This window comes from Homo sapiens, chromosome X (genome assembly GCF_000001405.40).
Source record: "Homo sapiens chromosome X, GRCh38.p14 Primary Assembly".
Classification (NCBI taxonomy): Eukaryota; Metazoa; Chordata; class Mammalia; order Primates; family Hominidae; genus Homo; species Homo sapiens.
Window position 1 is genome coordinate 106,919,827 of NC_000023.11, and position 19,479 is coordinate 106,939,305.

The following is a 19,479-nucleotide window of genomic DNA, read 5'->3' on the forward strand; positions in this document are numbered from 1 at the left end:
CTGCCATGTGTGGTAAAAAGGAGAGCCCTGTCCTTATGCTGGCCTACTCAGTTCCACCTTGTAGGACCTGCTCTTTGAACTCAGAGTCTGAACCTACAGTACCCATGTTTGCCCTTGAGCCTTGGGACCAACCTTAGGGGTGGGGTAGGGCTGAGGGCCTGCCAGAGAATCAAGCTGAGTAGAAAAGTCTATGGAGCTGCAGGCCATGCAGGGCTGCTTGGGCACTGGCTCACCAGGGCTGTGTTTATGCAGCTTACTCCCTGCTGGGCTTCAGGGCTGCTAGCCAGGGACACCTAATTGGTGGGACAGAGCCCCCTCCTCTCACCACCCTCAAAGCTGGAATGTTCTGAATTCCTTCTTGGGCCAAATCCCCCTCCCCACAAGGCCTCTCCTGGGTTCACAGAGGTCACCACACAAAAGCCCAGCTGGAGTGGAGTTTTTGACAGAAAAAAAAAAACACACACAGAAAACCCACCAAACCTTTTTTTTTTTTTTTCTAAAGTGCCTCAATCTTTCCCAGCCTCCAGGGGTTTAATTCTGATCTGTAATAAGTCTCTGACCCACGGCTCAGATTTGCAGATGGATTTTGCAAAGCTGTGGTTAACGATTAGAAATCCTTTATCACCTCAGCCCGTGGCCCCTTGTACTTCGCTCCCCTCCCTCAGGATCCCTTTCTCCCTCTCCAGGGGCATCTCCCCCTCCAAGGCTCTGCAAAGAACTGCCCTGTAAGTATCTCCATCCTGATATAGTTGCTGCCTTTTAAATTCACCGAGGTGGGCACTCTTCCTTCCTAGTCACTATCCATTCACCCCATGGTGGAGCCAGGCTGGGCCACCTTGGGTTTCTGAGTGAAGGGTATGGGAGGGGAAACTCCGGTGGCATTTGGGTTGGTGGTATTTGTTCCCTCAAAGCTATCACAAAGGTTCAAATCTTTAAAACTTCAGGACCAGAGAAAGCACTCTCCAAATCAGATATTTTCTGGTTTGGGGGCTTAAAAGGACTGGGATAAAAATTGGAGGAAGGGAGCCACAGTTTACCCCTCTGCCTAAGTGTAGGGGACTGAGGAGTGGCAGAAGGGGCACTCCCTCACAGCCAGCTCCAGTGCCCTCCTTGGCATGAAGGCTCAGGGAGGTAGCAGAAGGTGGGTTCCTAAGTGAAGTCATAAAGTTTCCCCATGAGGTCCTTCAAGGACTCTCCCTCACTGGTCTGCAAGTCTGTCATTAGAAATTCCTTCTTTCGACTGAGGTATTACTCTCTTCAAGTGCCCTCTTTGAAAATGCAGTTGGAACCAAAACATTCACAGCACTTATGGCCGGGGAGATCGTAGGCGATTTTTGTTTTCTAAATTCTGCCTTTCTGTGTTTTCCAGTGTTCTAAAGTGAGAATGCTTTACTTTGATGATCAGGACAAAAATCAACTTCTTTTTCAAACAATAAGAAAATCTCTCAATCCAGTTGCAATTCTCTGAACTGCCATCAATCAATTGATGTAGAAGGAAAGATGAACTGCTCTAAGGACAAACTTTCAAGAAAGTAGGGCCTCAAGGGAATGGCTTTGCCACCTACTAGTGCCCTTGGCAGCTGGAAGTGAGTTTCAGAGAAGGGGGCAAGTGTCTCAGATTCTTATGAGGGGCAGTGAGATCAAGGGATATAGAAATGAGGCTGACTGACAGAAGAGGGCTGTGGTGGCCATCATCACCCCCAGAAGGCCACATCAGTTCCTTCCTTGAGCCTGGGAACCCCAAGTGCCCTGTCCCATGTAGTCTTAGGAGGGTACTGCCAAAGAAAGAGTACCATGCACAAGACTCTTGGAGCAAGAGATGGGGAGAATAGCAGGGAAAGTACCTAGGTGAGAAGGGGTTAAGTCAGGAGCTGCGGTCAATCTTGACCCTCCTAATCCTCTCCTGCAGCTCCAATCTCCCCACTAGGGAAGATTAAGTAAGGATCCTAAGTTAAACTTTCTTGCCCAGTCCTTGGGCCATGGAGTATGTTGGCCCTATGCCCAGAAGACAAATTCAGCTGACAAGGCCTAGAGTCCTCTGTACCTCCAACGCAGCCAGTACTTGACTTCTAGGAGGATCCCTCAAAGAGAGGCTTCTATTAAAACTGGCTGCTTCTAATAACAGCTCTTCAGTCTTCTATATTTGTCAAAGTGGCTTCCTGTCCCCATGCCTTTATTTGAGACTAAAAATCTTGGAGATGACAAACTAGGGCCTAGAGAAGCTATAGGACTTCCTCAGCAGGTTCTAGGCAGAACTGACACAACAAGAAGCTAGATCTTTTGATTCTAACACCAGGACCCTGTCTGCCCTCACCTCTACTGCTCATCAGACAAACAAAAACCTGGCTGAATCCAGCCTGTCTCACCACCCAACCATTCGCCATTTAGCTGGTCTTCCTAACTCTGGTGGAAAGCTGAACCCCCCCTCCATGGGGCCATTTCTATCACTTGAATAAGCTCCAATAACTTGTTCTTCCTCCTGCCTGGGCATGCTGCTATGCCAAGTCAGACTCTAGAGATTCCAAGCCTCAGTAATGGCATTTTCTTGACTCTGCCCTCTCCCTCACCCCAAAACACTTGCCTACTTACTACTACTTAGGACAGGCTCTGGGGAGAGGCTTTCCTCTTGGGGACACTGTTGATTCCCTTGGGAAACTCAAGCTTGACTCTTCAGCTGCCATCCCAGGAAGGCTGAAGCAGGAGCTGCTCCTCTGGGAAGCAGTAGGTCTTCCCCTTGAAAACCTCAAGGTATCTCACCAATTCTCACTGAAAGCTCAGATACAAATAGGAGGAAGAAAGGAAAAGTATTGAACCCAGCCTGGGTGAGGAGCAGGGAGGGCCCAAGGATGGTTTCAAGGCAAGGATGCATCCTCAAAGATGATTTGCAATTATCCAAGCAAATGGTGGATGGTAGAATAGCATGCTTACGGGCTTGGAGACAGAGAGAAAGGCAGTCAGAGAAATTCAAGTGCTTAGGTTTGGCTGGATCATATGTGTATGTATAGGAGCATAAAGCATGAGGTTGGAGGTTAATGGTGTGAGATGAGGCTGTGAAGAAAAGCCGGGGTGAAATAATGGAGGGCTTTCTTGGTTTCCTGGGCTAGCAAGTTTGAACTTCATCCTGAAATACTTAAGAGCTCTGAAGATTTTTTTTTTTTTTTTTTTTTGAGACAAAGTTTTGCTCTATCGCTCAGGCTGGAGTGCAGTGGCACAATCTCGGCTCACTGCAACCTCCACCTCCCGGTTCCAGCGATTCTCCTGCCTCAGCCTCCCTAGTAGCTGGGATTACAGGCACATGCCACCACGCCCAACTAATTTTTGTATTTTTCGTAGAGACGGGGTTTCACTATGTTGGCCAGGCTGGTCTCAAACTCCTGACCTCGTGATCTGCCCGCCTCGGCCTCCCAAAGTGCTGGGATTATAGGCGTAAGCCACCGCACCCGGCTGAGCTCCTGAAGATTTTTAAGCATGGCAAAGCGTGAGGTGAAAGTCACAATTTGATTTCAACTTTACAAAGATCTTTGACTACTGGGTAGGTAATTCATTATTGCAGGATTGGGGCAGAAGTGGAATTAGAGAGATCAATTTGAGGTGTCTATGAGATTTTCAAATAGACAAGAAACGATGGTTGCATAGTCTGAACTATGGTTTAGGGCAGTGGCGACAGAAAGAAGTAGATGGATTCACAGTCTATTTTTGAAGGCAGACCTGATGGTACATTATAATTAATTATATGTCAACAAGAGGTGAAAAAGCAAGGATGACTGGCTTGGGTTATTAACTCAGTGACAGCCCCACTGAGGTAAGGAACACTGCATGAGGAGCAGTTTGGGCATGGGGAGCAAAAAGGGCAGATGATTCCAGCTTTGCAAATGTTGAATTTGAGGCCATTAAAACATTCAGGTAGGGCCATTCCAAGTAATAGTTAACTACACAAATCTTGAGTTCAGGAGAGAAATCTGTGGCAGAGATATGAATTCAGGAGTCACTGGCATGGAGACAGAGAGGATGAGATAACCCATGAAGAATGTGAAGGATAAGAAGAGCCATCTAGAAGTCGAGATGAAACCCTGAGGAGGCTAGAGGGGCAGAGATGGATAGTTAGACTTAAAGAGTGAGCAGAAGAAGAGGAACTTATAAGGGAAAACTAGAAGAATCATTTTGAGAAGTAGTTAAAATGGAGTGGTGTTACAGAAAACAAGGGAGAAGATAGTTTTATGAAGGAGAGAGACAAGGTGAGATGACAGAGATATGATCATTGAATTTTGGATCAAGAAAAGAGTTGATAACTTTGGTGAGAATATTTTCAGTGGAGGGCTAATGGTGGAAGCCAGACTGCAGAGGGCTGAGCAGTGAGTGGGAGGGTGAAGAAGTGGAGACATCAATAATGAATGGCTTGTTTAAGGATCTTGGCTGCAAAGAGAATGATCAAGATAGGAGTAATAGCTGCACAGGGAGGAGGTAGAGTAGGGAGCTCAAAAAGTAGTAGTAAATGTTTGAAGCAGTCATCAGAAGGGTGCTTACCAGGGAGAAGTAGAAGGATTTCCAAGCAGCACTGAAGGCCTCAATGAGATACATAGTCATGATCAGGACAGGTACAATTGTGCCAAGGTTAGCAATAAGAAACCAATGTCAAGAAAGACTTGCTAATGAGTGACAGAGGTGAGATTCAAACTATGTTTCTCTCCCTTCATCAAATGTTTATCGGCTCCTGCTCTGCACTGCTTTGCATCAACACTGGCATTGGTGTTTCCAATGCTGATGAATCGTATTGACTATCAATCATGTGCCCAATGCTGTGGAAGCATGATAGACATTTAATATATATTTTTTCACCCTTAAATTGTTTAGAATTTGGTTGAGGAGACAAAATATTCCACAAATGCATATATATTATAAATATATATAATATACATTATATATATACATAGTGAAGCTCTGCTGTCTCTCTCTCCCCCCTTACCTCTTTCTTCCTCTGATCCCCCATCTCTCTCTTTCTTCTTTCCCAACGTTGGGCAGCACTTCAATGACCCTTACACTGAAGCGTTATTGACTCATTTGGAAAGTCCCTATATTTTAGTCATATGGAGCCCCTCAAACCTCTTTGCCAACTTCATTCATTTATTAAGAAGACAGTTTTTGAATTGCTGCTCTGGATAAAGCAGTATGTAAGGCACATGAGATACAGAGATACATAAGATATAGTCTTGCCCTCAAGTAGCTCACAGGCTAATAGGGAAGAATGAGGGTTTAAACAGGAAATTGCAACATAATGCAAAATGTACTATCTCTGCCTCAGTTTCTTCATCTATACAATAGGGATTATTAGTGCCTACCACAAAAAAACCTGTGACGACTAAATAAGTTAGCATGTAAAAAGTGCTTATAATGGTCCCATAAGAAACACTACATAAGTGTTGCTATTATTATTATTACTATGATGGAAGTAAACACAAGATACTGTAAGAATAGACAGGAGGGGTACTTGACCCAGGCTAGAGTAAGAGACATCTGTGCTGAATCCTAAAAGATGAGAAGGCACTAAACAGAGGAAGAAGAATACATAACACTCTGCATAGAATATTCTGTTCTATTTCTATTTGGGAGCAAAAGACCACATGGCATGATTGAAGAACTGGAAGTAATTTAATTCCACAATAGTACAGACTATGAGGAGGGAAATGGCAAGAGATGAAGCTTGAGAGGTCATGGGGTAAACCAAGCAAGTTTGGACTTTACTTTTTAGCAAATGGGGAGCCACTGGAATGCTTTATGTAGAGTAGTGACTCGATCAGATTAATGTGTTGAAAGATCACCTTGGCAATGATGTGGAGAATGAATTGGGAGAAAGACAAGTTAGAAAGCTGTTGCTATAATCCAGGTGAAAGAGAATGATGAGGTCGTGCATGGTGGCTCACACCTGTAATCCCAGCATTTTGGGAGGCTGAGGTGGGCGGATCACTTGCAGTCAGGAGTTGGAGATCAGCCTGGCCAGCATGGCAAAACCCTGTCTCTACTAAAAATACAAAATTAGCTGGGCGTGGTGGCGTGCACCTGTAGTCCCAGCTACTCAGGAAGCTGAGGCACAAGAATCACTTGAACCTGGGAGGTGGAGATTGCAGTGAGCTAAGATCACGCCACCCCACTCCAGGCTGGGCAACAAAAGCAAAATTCGGTCTCAAAAAAAGAATGGTGAAACTGAACTAGGGAAGTAGCAGTGGAAATGGAGAGAAAGGAACCATGGATTTGAGGTATATTCATAAGGTAGAACTGGTGGGACATAGGGACTATAGGATGCAGGAGGTAAGTAGAAGAAAGGTGCTAAAGATCACTTTCCGGATTTTGGTCTGGCACAAGTGGATGGATAGAGGTATCATTCAGTGAACACAGGGAACACAGGGAAGAACTGTTTGGGGAAAGCTGCATGGGGGATGTGATGAGTTCACTTTTGGACATGTCAAATTCGAGATGTCTATGAGATTTCCCTGTGGAGATTCTGACTAGGTGATTGCTCTGCCAGTCTTGAAGCTCAGAAGGGTCTATCCTGGAAATTCAGATTTGGGAGGGTCAGTGGATGGGTAGTAGATTAAGTTATGGGGGCAAGATGAGTTTGCTCAGGGACAGAGTGTTAATTGAGAAAAGGATGGACTTCTGAGGAATACTCACATTTAAGAGATGAGTAGGGAAAGAGAAATCTTGAAGAAGGCTAAAATGGAATAGCCAGATTGTGGTGGGTTGAAAAATTAGTGGGTTAGTTCGGGCACGGTGGCTCATGCCTGTAATCCTAGCACTTTGGGAGGCTGAGGCAGGTGGATCACTTGAGCTTAGGAGTTCAAGACCAGTGTGGGCAACATGGCAAAACCTGGTCTCTACAAAAAATACACACACACACACACAACTAGCCAGGTGTGGTGATGCGCTCCTGTAGTCCCAGCTACTTGTGGGGCTGAGGCAGGAGGATCACACACACACACACACACACACACACACACACACACACAACTAGCCAGGTGTGGTGATGCGCTCCTGTAGTCCCAGCTACTTGTGGGGCTGAGGCAGGAGGATCACACACACACACACACACACACACACACACACACACACAAACTAGCCAGGTGTGGTGATGCGCTCCTGTAGTCCCAGCTACTTGTGGGGCTGAGGCAGGAGGATCACTTGAGCCCAGGAGGTCGAGGCTGCAATGAGCCGAGATCATGCCACTGCACTCCAGCCTGGGTGCCAAAGTGAGAACCTGTCTCAAAAAGAAAGAAAGAAAAATTAGTGGATCAGAGGGTCTTGTAGAGAATGGGGAGGTGTGCCCTTGACCCTTAGTGTCCTGAATCTTGGCAACACCGAGGGCTCCTTGAACACGGCAAAATCTTATATGGCTCTGAGATTCCAAAGCATTGACTCAGATACCTGCCTCATGCAAAGCCCTATATTCTAGAGCAGTTTCCCTTTCCTCTGTGGCAGACTCTTGTCCCCCCTAACAGATGGCCCAGGGAATTTCAGGGCCCCCTCTCAGTCCTGGAACCCTTGTTCCAGAGTGCTCCCTCATCATCCAAGAGGCTGATGATGGGAGCATCTATTAGGAGACTGGACAGGAAATGTCTGGGCATGTTATACATGCAGGAGGCCTTAGACTAGGCTGCAGAGGGGGATTTGGGCATGGCTGGGAGGATCTGAACTCTCAGAGTATGGACAGAAGGCTTTGCTGCCCACCCCCATCTACCCTGGAGTAGATTTTCACCATGGGCAGAATGATCCAGGGCTAGGCCACTACTCTCTAGGCCCCTGGAGATTCAAGAGGCCTCTAACAAACTGGAGTCCAAGACTACATTCTAGGATCTGTTCCTCCTGATGTAGTCTGCAGTTTGGCCTCAGTCTGCAATTGAGGGGCCCTATGGCACTGTTGCTTGGCAATGTATTAAACAGCAGGCCTTGGAGACTAGCACTTGAGTTAACACAGCCACCACAACCACCACTGCCATCATCACCTTCCCGGAAAGCAGCCACCTGTCTGGCTCCTGGCTTTGTCCAGCTGCCAACCTAAGGCATGTGCCTACGCAGGAGGCGATGACATTTTGGCTCCACGTTCAAAGTTGTTTTTTTTTTCCTTTCTCATGTGTTATTTCTAAAGATAACAAAGGTCAAAAGGCATCCAGCGTTTTCTGGTTTCTCATAAGCTTCTGGTCAATATTTAATCTGGTTTATGGATTTTTTTTAGGTCTTCTAGATGCCTTCTTGAGGCTGCTTGTGGCCACCCACAGACACTTGTAAGGAGGAGAGAAGTCAGCCTGGCAGAGAGACTCTGAAATGAGGGATTAGAGGTGTTCAAGGAGCAAGAGCTTCAGCCTGAAGACAAGGGAGCAGTCCCTGAAGACGCTTCTACTGAGAGGTCTGCCATGGCCTCTCTTGGCCTCCAACTTGTGGGCTACATCCTAGGCCTTCTGGGGCTTTTGGGCACACTGGTTGCCATGCTGCTCCCCAGCTGGAAAACAAGTTCTTATGTCGGTGCCAGCATTGTGACAGCAGTTGGCTTCTCCAAGGGCCTCTGGATGGAATGTGCCACACACAGCACAGGCATCACCCAGTGTGACATCTATAGCACCCTTCTGGGCCTGCCCGCTGACATCCAGGCTGCCCAGGCCATGATGGTGACATCCAGTGCAATCTCCTCCCTGGCCTGCATTATCTCTGTGGTGGGCATGAGATGCACAGTCTTCTGCCAGGAATCCCGAGCCAAAGACAGAGTGGCGGTAGCAGGTGGAGTCTTTTTCATCCTTGGAGGCCTCCTGGGATTCATTCCTGTTGCCTGGAATCTTCATGGGATCCTACGGGACTTCTACTCACCACTGGTGCCTGACAGCATGAAATTTGAGATTGGAGAGGCTCTTTACTTGGGCATTATTTCTTCCCTGTTCTCCCTGATAGCTGGAATCATCCTCTGCTTTTCCTGCTCATCCCAGAGAAATCGCTCCAACTACTACGATGCCTACCAAGCCCAACCTCTTGCCACAAGGAGCTCTCCAAGGCCTGGTCAACCTCCCAAAGTCAAGAGTGAGTTCAATTCCTACAGCCTGACAGGGTATGTGTGAAGAACCAGGGGCCAGAGCTGGGGGGTGGCTGGGTCTGTGAAAAACAGTGGACAGCACCCCGAGGGCCACAGGTGAGGGACACTACCACTGGATCGTGTCAGAAGGTGCTGCTGAGGATAGACTGACTTTGGCCATTGGATTGAGCAAAGGCAGAAATGGGGGCTAGTGTAACAGCATGCAGGTTGAATTGCCAAGGATGCTCGCCATGCCAGCCTTTCTGTTTTCCTCACCTTGCTGCTCCCCTGCCCTAAGTCCCCAACCCTCAACTTGAAACCCCATTCCCTTAAGCCAGGACTCAGAGGATCCCTTTGCCCTCTGGTTTACCTGGGACTCCATCCCCAAACCCACTAATCACATCCCACTGACTGACCCTCTGTGATCAAAGACCCTCTCTCTGGCTGAGGTTGGCTCTTAGCTCATTGCTGGGGATGGGAAGGAGAAGCAGTGGCTTTTGTGGGCATTGCTCTAACCTACTTCTCAAGCTTCCCTCCAAAGAAACTGATTGGCCCTGGAACCTCCATCCCACTCTTGTTATGACTCCACAGTGTCCAGACTAATTTGTGCATGAACTGAAATAAAACCATCCTACGGTATCCAGGGAACAGAAAGCAGGATGCAGGATGGGAGGACAGGAAGGCAGCCTGGGACATTTAAAAAAATAAAAATGAAAAAAAAACCCAGAACCCATTTCTCAGGGCACTTTCCAGAATTCTCTCATATTTGTGGGCTGGGATCAAGCCTGCAGCTTGAGGAAAGCACAAGGAAAGGAAAGAAGATCTGGTGGAAAGCTCAGGTGGCAGCGGACTCTGACTCCACTGAGGAACTGCCTCAGAAGCTGCGATCACAACTTTGGCTGAAGCCCCTGCCTCACTCTAGGGCACCTGACCTGGCCTCTTGCCTAAACCACAAGGCTAAGGGCTATAGACAATGGTTTCCTTAGGAACAGTAAACCAGTTTTTCTAGGGATGGCCCTTGGCTGGGGGATGACAGTGTGGGAGCTGTGGGGTACTGAGGAAGACACCATTCCTTGACGGTGTCTAAGAAGCCAGGTGGATGTGTGTGGTGGCTCCAGTGGGTGTTTCTACTCTGCCAGTGAGAGGCAGCCCCCTAGAAACTCTTCAGGCGTAATGGAAAATCAGCTCAAATGAGATCAGGCCCCCCCAGGGTCCACCCACAGAGCACTACAGAGCCTCTGAAAGACCATAGCACCAAGCGAGCCCCTTCAGATTCCCCCACTGTCCATCGGAAGATGCTCCAGAGTGGCTAGAGGGCATCTAAGGGCTCCAGCATGGCATATCCATGCCCACGGTGCTGTGTCCATGATCTGAGTGATAGCTGCACTGCTGCCTGGGATTGCAGCTGAGGTGGGAGTGGAGAATGGTTCCCAGGAAGACAGTTCCACCTCTAAGGTCCGAAAATGTTCCCTTTACCCTGGAGTGGGAGTGAGGGGTCATACACCAAAGGTATTTTCCCTCACCAGTCTAGGCATGACTGGCTTCTGAAAAATTCCAGCACACCTCCTCGAACCTCATTGTCAGCAGAGAGGGCCCATCTGTTGTCTGTAACATGCCTTTCACATGTCCACCTTCTTGCCATGTTCCAGCTGCTCTCCCAACCTGGAAGGCCGTCTCCCCTTAGCCAAGTCCTCCTCAGGCTTGGAGAACTTCCTCAGCGTCACCTCCTTCATTGAGCCTTCTCTGATCACTCCATCCCTCTCCTACCCCTCCCTCCCCCAACCCTCAATGTATAAATTGCTTCTTGATGCTTAGCATTCACAATTTTTGATTGATCGTTATTTGTGTGTGTGTGTCCGATCTCACAAGTATATTGTAAACCCTTCGGTGGGTGGGGGCCATATCCTAGACCTCTCTGTATCCCCCAGACTATCTGTAACAGTGCCAGGCACACAGTAGGTGATCAATAAACACTTGTTGATTGAGTAACTGTGTTACTGATTAAAAGGGGCCCAGAACGGGCAAGTGAAACTCGAGGGATTTCGGCTAAGGGGAGGGGAGGGTGGAAACTGGCATTTCTTTCCACAGGGTAGATAGACAATTCTAGACCTTACTAGAAATAATTAGAAAGCATGACAATCTCCTCCCCAAGGCAACTCCAACCTCTTCAACTTGCCCAGGGCTCTTTCCTTTTCATAACAATTGTTTTCAGTTATTTACTAAACGATGATGTATTTATTCCTTCCATTCTCTGAACCACTATCATGAGGAAGGTAAAATGGATCTGATCATCTGCATTTGGCAGATGGGGAAACTAAAGCCCACACAAGTAAATAGATTTTCCCAGGGACACAAAGATAGTGTTAGTTCCCTCAGTCTCCTGACTCCCAAAATAGGACCCTGCTAATCCCACACTATTCACAGCCAATAGAAGAGCCTTCCAGAGGTCCCCAAGCTACCTGAGGAAAATAACTCACAGCCAGCCAGGTAACAAGGAGGGCACACAGGCTCTCCTGGTCGCCCATGAGGGCAATCTGGGAAATCATCAAGTGTACCACCTGGAACTGCCCTCTCCTGCTATGCTGGCCAGCCTGGGCCCAGCTAGCTGCTCTACCAGGGGGATGCCGGGCTTACATTGAGTAAAACACAATACCTCAGTTCCAATTCCCCTAACTCTGAAGGTGTGGCAGTTTGGGAGGCCAATGATTTGGCCCTGTTCTACACTCACTAGGAATTAACAAAGCCCCATTCATAAGGGTGTTCACTGTGGCAATACTGACAATAATGGGGCCCTACCTGATTCAGCTTAACCAGCCCCTGGATCTAGAGGGCCCCACCACATAGCCTGTTGTATCAGACACTACCCTTGCACTTCTGAAGTGAGCCTTCTTTGGTGCAGAGGCTAGAACATCAGCATCCAAGTCCATTTAGAGGGAATGGCAGCAGGCAGGGATAAGGGGAGAGAGAGAAGCTCCCTGGATAAAAGCTTAACAAGAAGTCATGTCTCTGGTCTGGCACCAGGAACCCCAGAGCCCTTGATTGGGGGCCACTGGAGGTTGGAAGATAAAACCACCTTGCTGGCTCTGCTATGCTGAGTGGGCAGCAGTCTGGTATGGGCTCTGATGAGCCACCATCTGGCTGCTAAAGCACTTGCAGATCCACTGATTTCACTGCATTCTCCACATACTCCAGTGAAGTGGGTCTTTTACAAGAGACAAAATGGAGGCCCAGAGATGTGAGTAATATCACTCAGGTCACAGTGTCAGAGTTTGAACATAAGCTTAGAAACTTCTCACAGCAACGTGAGCCCAGCATTCTGGTCTCAGAAGGTGTATGAGGACGTATTGCTCTTCAGACTCTTGCAGGCTTCGTGTCCCTGTCTGCCACTGGAATACAAGGGCCTTTGTTGGATATAGAGCACAGAGCTTCCCTTCATCTTAGAAGGAGGCTGGCCTGAGGGGTCCTCCTACCTTTGTTAATCTGGGAAGTTTCAGTGGAAGGAGTCAGAAGTTCATCCTCAACTAGAAAAGCCAGGGAAGACCTAACAAAGAGCAACTGTTCCCTCCAGCTGGTTGAGCAAGAAAGGCTTTGCTCTAAGTAGTTTCCTAGAAATATTCCCGGCTCCTGGGTCCAGGGCAAACACTTTTCAGCTCACCCCATTGCCTTCCCTCATAAAGTAATTTAGATTAGCCACAGAGCTAGGGGATAGTGAAGGCCACTATGTTTATGCTCCAGCCCCATGGCTCTGACCCTTGCACAAGGAGAGATGTTTCTGTCCTCTCTCATTCCTCTGATAGTAACATGACTCATATTTTCTTCCCCTTGGAGCCCTAGTGACCCACTGCTATGTGATCATTAATGGGCGAAGAAGGACTGAAACTGGCTTCTTAGTGGAAAGGCAAGCTCCAACTTTCGGAAAGACCTTTGTCCAGCCATTCAAACAGCTATCTGCTGGCCAGCCCACACTCACTGAACTCTTACTCTGTGTCAGGAAATGTGCAAAGGGCTTTGAGGGCGATGAGAGTGAACAAGGTAAAGTTTGTACCCTGTAGGAACTGACAGCTCATCTAGAGGAGATAAGACATGGACACCTAACTGTGGTACGAGGCAGCATATGGGCTGTCCTGTGAAAGACGTGACAAAAGTGATATAAGATAGGGGTCAAGGGCTGATAAAAATAGTCTTGTAAGTCCCCTTAAATTCCAATCCATATGAAATGAGGGCCTGGCACTACATGAGCTTTTGGGGAAAGCATGATGAAAACTGCTTCTTGCAATGGAAGGACTCCGGGAAATTGAGCAATCGGGTGTAGAGGCGGTGCTAAGGAGGTAGCAGAGATATGCTGTGCAGCTAATCTGGAATCCTTCTGAGTTTGCCTCACAGGACCCTTATGTGACTCTAAAAGAAGGAGTGACCCTGGGGCTCAGCTTCTGCTCCCTCATCTCCTTCCCTTGCACAAGACTTTGGAATTTGCTGGGGGCAGCACAATCAGTGCCCATTCAGGTAGCCAGGGGCCTTTTGTCTCTGGACCAGAGGAGAAATGCAGGTGTGGGAGAAGGGAGACAGGCAAGAGAAGAGCCTAGTGCTAAAGGAAGGTGATGAGGCCTTGCAGGGCCAACTCTGTTCCCTCCCACTCAGCCCTGGGCCCACGGACAGGGGATTCTTTCGTGCCTGCAGCAGCCCACTCTGGGACACAGAGGCCCAGGCCAGGAAGTGCATGTGCTTCTCCTCAGCTGGCTGAAGCCTGGCTTTCACCCAGACTGGTCTCCCTGCTCAAGCGGCTCCCGGCTTTGATGAGAAATTCTGTTATCTCAAGAGGGAAAAGAACCTCAAACAGGAAGTCTAGCAGGTTATCTCTCTCTTCTGCCCTAAGTGGTGGCTCACTATATGCTGTGATGTGATCACTGATAAAATATTAACAGGCTGTTATCAGGCACAGTAATGCAGAGGCTATAATCTGACCACTTCCTCCCACCCCACAGCCCACCACTTTCCTGGGAATTGCAGCTCAGGAATTTCTTAACTCTCACCTAAAATTCCCTGCTCTGGGCTTCATCACCCCCAAAGACAAGCAGCAGTCTTAGAGCTTGATAAAGCAGGAAGCCACCATGCAAGGGCACATCATCAGGTCCATTTTAGGAGAGAGCTGCTGCTTTCCCGTCCTCTCTGAAGTCCTATTCCTCCAGAATGGCAGCCTCACCACTTCACAGGTCACCTCCTCAGGAGTTTTGAAGAAGTTTCCATCTGAAAATTCTCATGACCTTGTGGAGATAACACTGAAAACGCTCACATGCTTTAAAAAAGATACTAGGCCGGGCGTGGTGGCTCATGCCTGTAATCCCAGAACTTTGGGAGGCCGAGGCGGGCGGATCACGAGGTCAGGAGATCGAGACCATCCTGGCTAACACGGTGAAACCCCGTCTCTACTAAAAATACAAAAAATTAGCCGGGCGAGGTGGCGGGCGCCTGTAGTCCCAGCTACTCGGGAGGCTGAGGCAGGAGAATGGCGTGAACCCGGGGGACGGAGTCTGCAGTGAGCCGAGATCGCGCCACTGCATTCCAGCCTGGGCGACAGTGAGATTCCGTCTCAAAAAAAAAAAAAAAAAAGATACTAGCGAGGTTAATGGGATGTGAAATGAGATGCCAAACGAGTGCGAATAGTGTGGTGGACAAGCCAGCATTTGAGTAGTAGCTCCTATTCTCCACCAGTGTTTTCAGAGTCTGTGATATTTGACCAAATTCTGTGTGGGCTGCTCAGGAGAAAAGCCAGTTAAACAAAAACTCATTTTTAGTAGAGATGGGGTTTCACGTGTCCCTTTGTAGGGACATGGATGAAATTGGAAATCATCATTCTCAGTAAACTACACAAGAACAAAAAACCAAACACCGCATATTCTCACTCATAGGTGGGAATTGAACAGTGAGATCACATGGACACAGGAAGGGGAACATCACACTCTGGGGACTGTTGTGGGGTGGGGGGAGGGGGGAGGGATAGCATTGGGAGATATACCTAATGCTAGATGACGAGTTAGTGGGTGTAGCGCACCAGCATGGCACATGTATACATATGTAACTAACCTGCACAATGTGCACATGTACCCTAAAACTTAAAAGTATAATAAAAAAAAATCAAGGAAAAGGCAGACAGGATGAGAAAGGGGGTGCCATCCTCCTGTTGGCAATTCCGGAGGTACCTTGTATGGTTAATTTTACTTCTCTGTGTGTAATAATAAACCAATATGTTCTTAAGTGTCACTTTCTCACTCCCCAAGAGACTTGTCCAACTCAGCACTGTCTGGAGAGGGGGATTCAAAGCAGCCAGTGAGAACACCCATGGGCAGAGGCCAGCAAGTCCAAGACCTCCCGCAGTGTAAGAATAGGATCTCGATAGCTGTTTGGATATCAGGAAAGCTGCCAAGTGACAGTTGTGAGTGAAAAACCCAGTCAAGGGGAAATGAATTTCCACGTTGTTTGGAGGGATATTCATTATATAAGTGAACAATTTCCTGATCATGAGGGCCGTTAAACATTGTGTGGGATTGTGAAACTGTCTTCCTTGGAAATTCCTGTTAGTGTGGGCTGGCTTTAGCATTTTCCTATTAAAAGGAAGAAGACAAGACTAATCATTTTCAAGATAGGCAGTATGGTGTAATAGGCAGTGAGTTTGGGCTCTGGAGTCAGATGAATCTGGGTTTGAATTTTGCCTCTGCACTCTAGCTGGGTGGCCTTGGGAAAGCCACTTCAATTCTCTACAATTCAGTTTCCTCATCTATAAAATGTGGATGAGAGCTGCCTCTCAGTGTGGTCATGGTATACAGTAGGTACTAACAAATGGGTAATAAATAAGTAGATTGGTGACCTAAAGGTAGGGTCAAAGCCACACCAAAATGTGTCTTTGGGGAATGGGGGCAGACAACAAAGTGTATTTTCTGCCACAGATCTGAATCCATGTTATCAAAGGAATAGTCTTTCCCAGGCCAAAACTTCTCAAGATTCTTCCCCAAAGTTCAAATATCTTGAAGACCTTGGATGGGTTTCCACTCATAAAATGTGGGAGGCCAGGGGAAAGGCAGACCTGAGAAGTTGGAGAGGGAAGGGATAATGGTGGCTGTCATCCACATCTGTGACCATGTGGATTGGAACAAATCCATGATTAACCAGGTCTCACTGCTAGAGAAATGGTCAATCCAAGGTAACTACACACTGTGGTTAACATTCCAAATTTAAGGACAATTGGAGAGATTTCAACAGCTACTTCATCCTAATTCATTAAGCAGGTTTAGCACAGCCCCTCTTGCTGGCATTTCCCAGCCCTTGGTTGATTGTGTTCCTTATGCTTCACACTGGATAATCCACTCTCTCAAACCCTCTTGGGTATTTCTGTATTCACTCCCCACCCAGTCTTATGACTTTGTTTACTCTTCCCTATACCTGGAAAACCCTCCCCACACATCTTCAGCTTTCCAATCCTTCCAGGTTTCCAGGGCCTATCTGGAAGATCAGACCTTCTGGAACACTTTCCTGAGCCTCTGTCTAAAGTCATCTTGCCTGCCTGAGGGCACAATGGACAGATATATGGAAGGTGTTTGGTATGTTGAAAGCACCCAAAACATTTGCACGGTTTTATCTAAAATTGGGTTGGGAATTTCTGGTGAATCACATCAAAACTTTGGGCTTAGGGATGGGGGCAAGTAACAAAATTTCTTCTGAAAGATTTTATTTTCTATTAGAAAATGAATGCCATTTATGTCTCACTTGGTAACTAAAGCTTTCACATACTAAGACTAAGTCAGCTCTTCTTTCAATTATCTAATTTATTATCCAAACATGTGCTCTAAGTTTTGATTCAGAAAGTGTAGTTCCTTAATGCCCCCCTTTGCCTAATAGAAGTCATGAGTTAGAGATGTCCATTTCACAAAGCGTAAGTCATTCTTTGAAGGAAATTACACTTGACTTAGCCTGAGCTCACACCTGGCATTCCTGAGCTTCACTCCAAATACAGAACTATAGAAAAGGGTTTGAATTCATATACAGAATTCTGAAAGACATTCTATCTGGAGTCTGCCTCTGGGAATGAAGAGCTTGCAATTAAGCCTCTGCCTCTGAATTGTTAGCCCAGATAATCTGCAATCACTAAACCTGGGCAAGCAAATTTTCTGTTCCCTGGGGCCACAAGGTACCTGGTCTAAGCCTCTACCTAAGCTGCCCATTAGTTCATCCAACAAGCACGTATCGACCTCCTAGTGCCCAGAACTTGTTTCCTACAAACTTGTTCTGTCTGTTCTTTCCTTGTGGATAGCTCCTTTCTTCTCTTGATACAAACTATCACCACTCAGAAAAAGTGAACAGACGCCTCCTCAGAATGTTTTCTTTCTCCTTTTAGTTCTCATTCTCAAGATCTGGTCTCTACAGACATCTCCTGGTTATGTTTTATAGTTCTCAGTATTTAAAAATTGCATGCCAGGGAGCCTCTTTTGATAAGATTCAGAATGTTTGTAGTAAAGAGTACCCACATTCCTGTTCTCCTTTGGTAGCCTTTCTACCTACCCATACCAAAGATCAGTTAAAGAGAAATACTAGGCCACTGCAGCTCACGCTAATTGTCCCTTATAACCTATAGCACTTATTATCTCAGTCTTTCATTTTCCAACTTGAATGTACAGGATTGCCATCTACCTCACTCATACTGTATTTATCCAACCCCTTCTATGAACAAGGCACTGTTTTAGGCCCCTGAGGGAGATGAAGACATGAACAAAACACAGTTCCCATCATTAACTAACTACCTCCTAGATCCCTGGTACTAGGATAAGCTCTAGGATACAGTGGTTGGCAAAAACAGGCATGGCCCTTCCCCTCATGAAACTTACTAGTGAGGGAGGCAGACGGGGAGCATGTGTATTGTGTTCACTACTGTATATCACAAGGCACATAGTCAGTACTCAATAAATATTTGTTGAGTGAAAGCAAATGACCATATATATCATGATACATTGTGAGGTGCTATGAATTGAGGAAAACGGGAAACAGTGATAGCATAATAGGGTAGATAGAGACAAAAGGCTGCCAGGGAATGCCTGTCTGATTAAGTGACACAACAAGACCTGAAGGATGGGGACTAGCCAGCTATATGCTAACACTGGAGATGGGAGCATTCTAGCGGAGGGAGCAGTATGGGTAAAGTATGCTTGGGGAGAGGGAATAGCAGGGTAAAGTCTCTGAGGTAAGTAAGAGCTCGACATGTGTCCATAGGAAGACTACAGTGAGCCAGGGGGAAAGTGGTATATGAAGAGGGGTTGCAAGAGACAAAGTATAAGTAGGCAGGGGCCTTGCAGGATACTGTAAGCAGTTTGGATTTTATTCTAAGTGTCAATGAGAAGTCATTTAAGGGCTTCAGGCAGGGGGGTCACATGATCTATTACTTTAAAAAAAAAATCACTGTCTATAGACAACTGTAGGAACAAGAGTAGAAGCAAGGACTCCAGCTAGGAGTTATAATAACCCATGGGAGATCATGGCAGTTTGGACTAAGGTAGCTGTAGTAAAAGTGAGGAGAGTCAAGACACACTTTGGAAGTAGAACTGACAGACTTGTTGACAGACTGGATGTAGGGAGTGAGAGAAGAGGAAAATTAGGGATAACTTCCAGGTTTCTAGCTTAAACAACTGGATGGGTGGAGGTGCCATTATCTAAGATGAGGAAAACTGGGAGAAAGGGAACAGCCCCAGGGTGTATCACTGCTTATTTTTAATGAGGCATGTTAAGTGTACATGTCAAGTAGGCAGCTGAATATTTGAATCTAGAGCTTTCTAATAGGGAAGACAGGACAAGGATGTTTGTGATAAAAGCCTTGAAAACTTAAATGTTCACAGAGAAATTTTTTGTCTAGCTGGGTTAATCAGAGAAGTTTGCAGGAAAAAGTTGGCATTTGAGCCAAAGGAAAGATGATGAGGGAAAGCATTGCAGCTAAAGGGAATGAAATTGCAAAGATGGAGATGGGAGAAATCTTAAAAGCATGTTCAGAAACTGGAAAATTGTTCAGTTTAGATGGAATGTGGCTTGTATCCGGAATGTTTCAAGATGACTCTAGAAAGGATGACTGAAGCCAGATCACAAAGGGCTTTGAGCACCATCCTAGGGAATTTGTATTGTACTCGGTGGGCAATTGGGAACACTAGCAAGTCTTTAAGCAGAGGCATGACCTGACGAAGTTGTTAAAAAACAAAATTTGGTGACACTGAGTAGGGCGGATCGAGGAGGGAGAACAGGAGGCAAGGGAGGCCATCTAAGAATTTATTTAGATAATCAAGGCATGAGGTAACAAGTTATTTAGGTAATAACCTAAATGCTTATCATGGCAATAGGAAGTTAAAGGGCAAATGTGGGAGACATTTCAAAGGGGAATTATGATTATGTTAACCTAACAG

General features: G+C 46.7%; 1 protein-coding gene across 3 annotated transcripts in view, besides 1 other annotated feature; it reads left to right on the top strand.

Moving 5' to 3' along the window:
* CLDN2 (claudin 2) overlaps positions 1–11,035 on the top strand; it is a 30,698-nt gene extending 19,663 nt beyond the window's left edge. For 2 of the 3 annotated variants that reach the window (NM_001171092.1, NM_001171095.2), the window contains exon 2: positions 8,225–11,035. In NM_001171092.1, the coding sequence (NP_001164563.1) occupies positions 8,403–9,095 (693 nt within the window). In that variant the 5' untranslated portion in view covers positions 8,225–8,402 and the 3' untranslated portion in view covers positions 9,096–11,035. Of the gene's footprint in view, positions 1–575; positions 726–8,224 lie in introns of those variants that run through there. The other variant, NM_020384.4, reaches the window with a different exon arrangement.
* Positions 13,239–13,740: an enhancer, noted in NCBI's record as "H3K4me1 hESC enhancer chrX:106176295-106176796 (GRCh37/hg19 assembly coordinates)". NCBI's record gives its function as "activates a minimal SCP1, AML or CMV promoter by ChIP-STARR-seq in naive H9 embryonic stem cells {active_cell/tissue: H9 hESC(naive)}" and the evidence as "EXISTENCE:reporter gene assay evidence [ECO:0000049][PMID:30033119]".